This window comes from Homo sapiens, chromosome 3 (genome assembly GCF_000001405.40).
Source record: "Homo sapiens chromosome 3, GRCh38.p14 Primary Assembly".
NCBI classification, from domain to species: Eukaryota; Metazoa; Chordata; class Mammalia; order Primates; family Hominidae; genus Homo; species Homo sapiens.
The window spans coordinates 179,260,841-179,267,623 of NC_000003.12; the positions used below are offsets into that span (position 1 = coordinate 179,260,841).

At 47.7% G+C, this 6,783-nt stretch overlaps 1 protein-coding gene and 1 pseudogene across 2 annotated transcripts in view, besides 2 other annotated features; both read right to left on the minus strand.

The window, feature by feature from the left end:
* The window catches only part of LRRFIP1P1 (LRR binding FLII interacting protein 1 pseudogene 1), a 4,308-nt pseudogene extending 3,581 nt beyond the window's left edge, over positions 1-727 (minus strand).
* KCNMB3 (potassium calcium-activated channel subfamily M regulatory beta subunit 3) overlaps positions 1-6,210 on the minus strand; it is a 27,348-nt gene extending 21,138 nt beyond the window's left edge. For both annotated transcript variants that reach the window (NM_001163677.2, NM_171828.3), the window contains exon 1: positions 5,809-6,210. In NM_001163677.2, coding sequence (NP_001157149.1) covers positions 5,809-5,870 — 62 coding nt within the window. In that variant the 5' untranslated portion in view covers positions 5,871-6,210. The remainder of the gene's footprint in view (positions 1-5,808) is intronic.
* Positions 345-774: a silencer, noted in NCBI's record as "silent region_14914". NCBI's record gives its function as "represses an Ori minimal core promoter by ATAC-STARR-seq in GM12878 lymphoblastoid cells {active_cell/tissue: GM12878}" and the evidence as "EXISTENCE:reporter gene assay evidence [ECO:0000049][PMID:35858748]".
* Positions 1,965-2,466: an enhancer, noted in NCBI's record as "H3K27ac-H3K4me1 hESC enhancer chr3:178980593-178981094 (GRCh37/hg19 assembly coordinates)". NCBI's record gives its function as "activates a minimal SCP1, AML or CMV promoter by ChIP-STARR-seq in naive H9 embryonic stem cells {active_cell/tissue: H9 hESC(naive)}" and the evidence as "EXISTENCE:reporter gene assay evidence [ECO:0000049][PMID:30033119]".
* Positions 6,211-6,783: the final 573 nt, after the last annotated feature.

The following is a 6,783-nucleotide window of genomic DNA, read 5'->3' on the forward strand; positions in this document are numbered from 1 at the left end:
CCAGCAACATATCTTTCAGGGTGTCAACTTGGTAAATGAAGTTTGTGTTTTCATTGTCTAACTGAGCATTGGAAAACATAGCCTTCTTACATTTCTCTTCAACTTCTGCTAGAGAGTCCTTGATTTCCCTGATGGACGCCTCGGTGTCGATGGATATAGAGGTGTCTCCGCTGCCTCTCTGAGAGGAAGTCCCACCCAGAAAGGCCAGCGTGGCTGCAGACGGGCCCAGCATGTTACGAGACCCCTTCTCAGTAAAATATTTTTCTGGTCTCTCTTCTACCTCCTTCTGCTGCCGCTCCAGCTCCTTCATGGGGATCTCACGAGCCTCCGCGCGGGCCTCCCGTTTTGCGGCGAGCCGGGCCTCCGCCAGCCTCTGCGCTTCCGCGCTCAAACAGTAGATCTCCCGGCTCTGCGTGGCCGCGGGGCTGGTCAACCTGCTGGGCTCGGCCCGCTCCACCCGGCGGGAAACGCTCGGGGACCGTGCCGGAGCCCCCCCCCGCGGGCCGGGCCAGGGGGCGCGCGCTCTGTCCGCGGAGACGGAGCCACTCGCCGCGAAGTGAACGCTCGCGCTTCCGGGGCCAAGAGCCAGCCCGCCGGGGAGCGGCTCGCGGGACTGGGCTCGGGCGCAGCCGGCAGGGGCGGGGCGTAGGTGGCCGCGGGCTGAGCCTGGCCGGGGGTGGAATGGCGCGGGGGAAGCGGGGCTCGGGCGCCTCCGCCCGCCCCATGGCCCGCCCCGCCCCACACTTGCAATTTTTTTACATTACTATGGTGTGAAAGCAATATGAATTCAGTAGAAACTGTACCTCAAATTTTGAATTTGCATTATTTCCTGGGCTAGCGATATGCAGTACCCTACTCTCTTGAGATGCTGGGCAGTGGCAGCCAGCCATAGTTCCCAGTCTGCCACACAATCATGAGGGTAAATAGCTAATACTCTGAAGTTTTCAACTTACAGTATTTTCCACTTATGATGGATTTGTCAGGATGTAATCCCACTGTAAATGGAGAACTATCTATATGCATGTTTTTACAAAAGATACATCTAAAACACAGATACAAAAAGGGTGAAATTTATAGGCAAAATGTAACAAAAAGCAAACATGAATGTTAAAAATTAAAAAGCTTTATTAGAAATTTAAAAATAAGTGTTTTAACACTGATTAAAGGCTCAATTCACACGGAAAATGTAACAATGCTAATTTGTAGGTACCTGATAGCATTGTTTCACTGATTAAACTACAAGAAGAAATAGACAAAATCCACTATCAGATTATGATGTATTTTTATACACTCCCCCAGTAATTTAGATAGCTTGACCTGAACAAACCAGTAGGGTAATAGATTTAAGTAAAGCAATTAACAAGTTTTATCTAAATGATAAATATAGAATACTCACTTCTACAGAATATATATTATTCTCAAGCATGTATGGAACATTTATGAAACTGTGTCCGGAATTGGTGGGTTCTTGGTCTCACCGACTTCAAGAATGAAGCCGCGGACCTTCGCAGTGAGTGTTATAGCTCTTAAGGCGGCGCCTCTGGAGTTGTTCATTCCTCCCGATGGGTTCGTGGTCTCCCTGGCTTCAGGAGTGAAGCTGCAGACCTTCGCAGTGAGTGTTACAGCTCATAAAGGCAGCGTGGACCCAAAGAACGAGCAGTACCAAGATTTATTGCAAAGAGCAAAGGAACAAATCCTCCACAGCGTGGAAAGGGACCTGAGCAGGTTGCCACTGCTGGCTGGGGCAGCCTACTTTTATTCTCTTATCTGGCCCCACCCACATCCTGCTGATTGGTCCATTTTACAGAGAGCCGATTGGTCCATTTTACAGAGAGCTAATTGGCCCATTTTGACAGGGTGCTGATTGGTGCGTTTACAATCCCTGAGCTAGACACAAAGGTTCTCCACATCCCCACTAGATTAGCTAGATACAGAGTGTGGACACAAACGTTTTCCAAGTCCCCACCAGAGTAGCTAGATACAGTGTCGATTGGTGCATTCACAAACCCTGAGCTAGATACAGGGTGCTGATTGGTGTGTTTATAAACCTTGAGCTAGATACACAGTACCAATTGGTGTATTTACAATCTCTTAGCTAAACATAAACGTTCTCCAAGTCCCCACCAGACTCAGGAGCCCAGCTGGCTTCACCCAGTGGATCCCGCACCGGGGCCACAGGTGGAGCTGCCTGCCAGTCCTGTGCGTGTGCCCGCACTCCTCAGACCTTGAGTGGTGGATGGGACTGGGTGCCGTGGAGCAGGGGGCAGCGCTCATCAGGGAGGCTCGGGCGGCACAGGAGCCCACGGAGGCGGGGGGAGGCTCAGGTATGGCGGGCTGCAGGTCCCAAGCCCTGCCCCGCGGGGAGGCACCTAAGGCCCTGTGAGAAATTGAGCACAGCAGCTGCTGGCCCAGGTGCTAAGCCCCTCACTGTCCGTGGCTTGTAGGCCGGTCGGCCACTCGGAGTGCTGGCCCGCTGAGTCCACGCCCACCTGGAACTCGGACTGGCCCGCAAGCTCCGCGCACAGCCCGGGTTCCCGCCCGCGCCTCTCCCTCCCCACCTCCCTGCAAGCTGAGGGAGCCGGCTCTAGCCTTGGCCAGCCCAGAAAGGGGCTCCTCAGGCGCGGCCAGAGTGGGCGCCAAGGCCGAGGAGGCGCGGAGAGCGAGCGAGGGCTGCAAGGGCTGCCAGCACGTTGTCACCTCTCAAGACCTGACTACAAACTTAGCCACAAAGAATTCCTCAACAAATGTCAAATGATTCATGAAAGTAATATATTTTTATATGCTCATTGTATGAAACTTGAAAAATACAAAAAAAAATGTACAGAAGAGAACAAAAACTCACCCACAACACTTAAAGGTAATGATTGTGCACTTGGTTTGCTGGGTTAATCCCCTCCTGCTCTATATTAGGTTTTTTGTTTTTTGTTTTTTGTTTCTGTTTTGTTTTTCTTTTTCTTTTCTTTTTTTTTTTTTTTTTTTTTTTGAGATGGAGTCTCACTCTGTCATCCAGGCTGCAGTGCAGTGGCATGATCTCAGCTCACTACAACCTCTGCTTCCCGGGTTCAAGCAATTCTCCTGCCTCAGCCTCCCAAGTAGCTGGGATTATAGGCGCCGGCTACCACGCCCAGCTAATTTTTTTGTTTTTAGTAGAAACGGGTTTTCACCATGTTGGCCAGGCTAGTCTCGAAATCTTGACCTCAGGTGATCCACCTGCCTCGGCCTCCCAAAGTGCTGAGATTATAGGCATAATCCACCGCACCTGGCCTATATTGTTTTAAACAGAATGAGATCACATTAGATATGATTTGAGATTTTTTTGTTAATCTTATCTTTTTCACTTAACATAATAAGCACTTTCCCATGTCATTAACAATTCTTTGTAATCCTATTGGCTACATAATGTTCCATCAATTAGATATGCCATATTTCCTTAACCATTTCCTTATTATTGAATATTATTAGGTTGTTTCCAGTTTTCTCAGACCATAAACAGCCTTGTAATTAACTTTGTTGTATTTACAAGCATCTTTCATCCAAGGACCTCAAAGCACTTAAGTATGATCTAGTTTGCTTTCTAGTCAGGAAGATGGATAAAAAGCATATTGATTCCTTTTTCTGCCAGTAATACATGTCCGCTTCTAACCAGTGTATTACCTTGAGCTGTTTTATTCATAATCAAGGCAATATCCACCACCTTCTATTCTCTTCACTGCAGATAGGACTGACTTTCCCACCCAGCCCAAGTACGACACATGGCTACAGGCAGCTTCTGGCTTAGCCTGAGGCAAACTCAATTACAAACAGCCTGAACACACTCACCTGGGTGTGATCCCCACAGAAGCCAGCAGCCTCTCCCTCCAGCACTGAAACTTTTGCAAGAAGTATTCCTTAGAAACATGCTGTGGCTCATCAAAACTTCATAATTCATCTGACATTCATTTCACGGGTGTATGTGAAATGAATGTCTAAACATGAAGTACACTATATTAATATTTCCCTGTAATTCGTTTTGGTTACAGAGGAGACCCTTGGTAATTATTTTTACTCTTCTATTTTTTAATTACAACATTATTTAACAACTTATTTTGAAACAGCAAATAAGGTTAAGTCAACATAGTTCATCAAGTTCAGCAAGAGGAAATAGCAATAATTCAGTTGTGCATTTCAGAAATGAAAATGGGATACAGTAGTTTGCTTTGATGACAACACAACTGCCTTTATATCTAGTTAATTGTGTGACGTATGGGACACTAAAACTTGTTTGCTTGCATGTTTGTCATTTGATCTTTTGCCATAAAGTAATTCATTTTAATTGTCTGTTCACAAAAAAATTGGTTCATGTCTAGCGAGAAGAACACCTTTCTTTCCTCTGTAGTCTGTCTGGTCCTTCTTCCCTGAACCCCCATCTTATCCAAACTCCTGTATCTCACTCTCCTCATGCTCCCTCTCAAATACCCCTGAGTGCAGTTAAGTGATAATGGAAGTGAGTAACATGATGACCATTACCATCTTTAATGTTTTCCAATTCTCAGCTCCCAACTCCACTAGAGCCAATAATAAATCATGCATATTTCCAGATAGTGAGTGAACCTGGTTCTGAAATGTACCCCTCCCAACAGGTTTTTCTTTGTTTGAGACAGAGTTTGGCTCTTGTCGCCCAGGCTGGAGTGCAATGGCACAATCTCTGCTCACTGCAACCTCCTCCTCCCAGGTTCAAGCAATTCTCCAGCCTCAGCCTCCTGAGTAGCTGGGATTACAGGCGCGCCACCACCATGCCCAGCTAATTTTTGTATTTTTAGTAGAGACGGGGTTTCACCATGTTGGCCAGGCTGCTCTCGAACTCCTGACCTCAGGTGATCCACTCACCTCGGCCTCCCAAAGTGCTGGGATTACAGGTGTGAGCCACCGCGCCTGGCACAAAAGGTTTTAGTATCCCATTTGTCCAACACCCTCAGGCATCACTCTTCTCTCCATTTTGGTTCCCACATTGACTGCCCCATGCCCCAACCCTAGGGCAGGCAAAAGGGGTGCAGGTCACTAGAGGCTTTCAGCTTCTTTGCTTTTCATTTCCCTGGGGAGAAAACGGGTCCTGAAAATAATCTCTCACTTCCCCCTTTAAGGAGAAGAGTAGGGTGGGTAATAACAATAGCTAAAAGGCTAGAGTTTAGGGAGGTGTAGAGCGTATACCCGGTATAACAGTATAGTTTAGAGAGGATGTGGTATACTGTGCTGAGACACGCAGGGGCTCTTACTATCTGCATTTCACAGATAAGGAGATGAGGCAAACAGAGAAGTTAAGTGACTTGCCCAGTCATATGGCTGATTAAGTGGTGAGCTGGGTTTGAATCCAAGGGCTGTGACTCCAGGGCTTCACCAATGGGACCTGCCCAGTCATATGGCTGATTAAGTGGTGAGCTGGGTTTGAATCCAAGGGCTGTGACTCCAGGGCTTCACCAATGGGACCAAATGCTGGTCTAATTTCTTCATTCCTCATTCAACCAACAGATCATTCTTGAGCACCAACTATGGGCTGGGCTATGATCAGTGCTGGGGAGCTACAGGTGAGTTTAAAAGGTCTCCAGTCTCCAAGAACTGGCAACCTAGAGGATAGAGCCAACAGGAAAGGCTGCAGCCCCGTGATGTGAGTGCTACTGGGGAAGCCTGCTGGGTACCCTGGGAGGCATGGCAAGTGGGCATCCTCAGAGAAAAAGGAAACACTCACTCCCCAAGCTCGAGATGTCCCCTCTTCTTGCAACTGCTTGTTCAGCCAGATTCCCACTACCGGCAGAGCTTCCGGAAGTGACTTACCTCCCCTGGCGCCTCCGGCTGCCCTGAAGTGTGATTTGCACGGGGATGCTGAAGGGCTGCATGAGGCCAGGGGTCTGAGAAAATGGCTCCCTTTCACCTGAGTCATGCCCCTGCGGGCGCAAGAAAGGTGAAGCTTAGACATCCACGGAAGTGGAGTCCCAGCGGGAGCCCCCAGCCCCCAGCGCAGCTGCAGCCATTAGAAGCCCCCCGCCTTCCTGGAGAGGTGAGAACTTCAGGCAGGCTAGCCACGTGGTTCTGCAGACTCCTGGCAAGGCGGAGCGGTCAGTTCTAGATGATCAAGAAGGACCTGCGTGGTTTGCTGCAGCCGAAGCTGCTTCTCTCTCTTTGCACTGTGCTTGCCGCCACCTCATCACCTGTGTTTCCGCCTCGGCAGCCGGGAGCATCGCCATAGAGACCTCAACGCTTGTGGAAAGTTCTGAGGCCCAAGGGGACCCTCTATAATTGGTGAGGGACGTACTCAGTTCAAGGTTTATAAGAAGAGGAAATGTTTTGCCCTGGCCGCGTTTCCTTTTCCACGTATTGTCTGTTAGAGTGCAAGCTGAAATAATGGGTTTTCTAGTTAATGGCATGTTCCAATTAAGATAATTCGCTTTTAAACCATATGTGATTTCCCAATTTTTCAAGATACAAAGGGCCATAAAATAACTCGCCATTAAAATTATCTCAAATTTTAAGAAAAGCTGTATCAAATATTATTTTATCTTTCTCTGATGACTTAAAAGACATTTGGGGATCTTTCCACACTCCCAAATTAGGAACATCAATTACCATTATATTATAGTACCACACATTGCTACAGGCACCTGTAGATGTGGATGACAGAATGCCAAAGAGACCATGTTTGCTGTATGTTTTTCAGTCAAGGCGATATTATCTTAACATTTTCCAAGATGGTGTGGGCAAGAATGTAAGCGTAATCTCATCTATAAATATCCATGTACATATAGCTATATA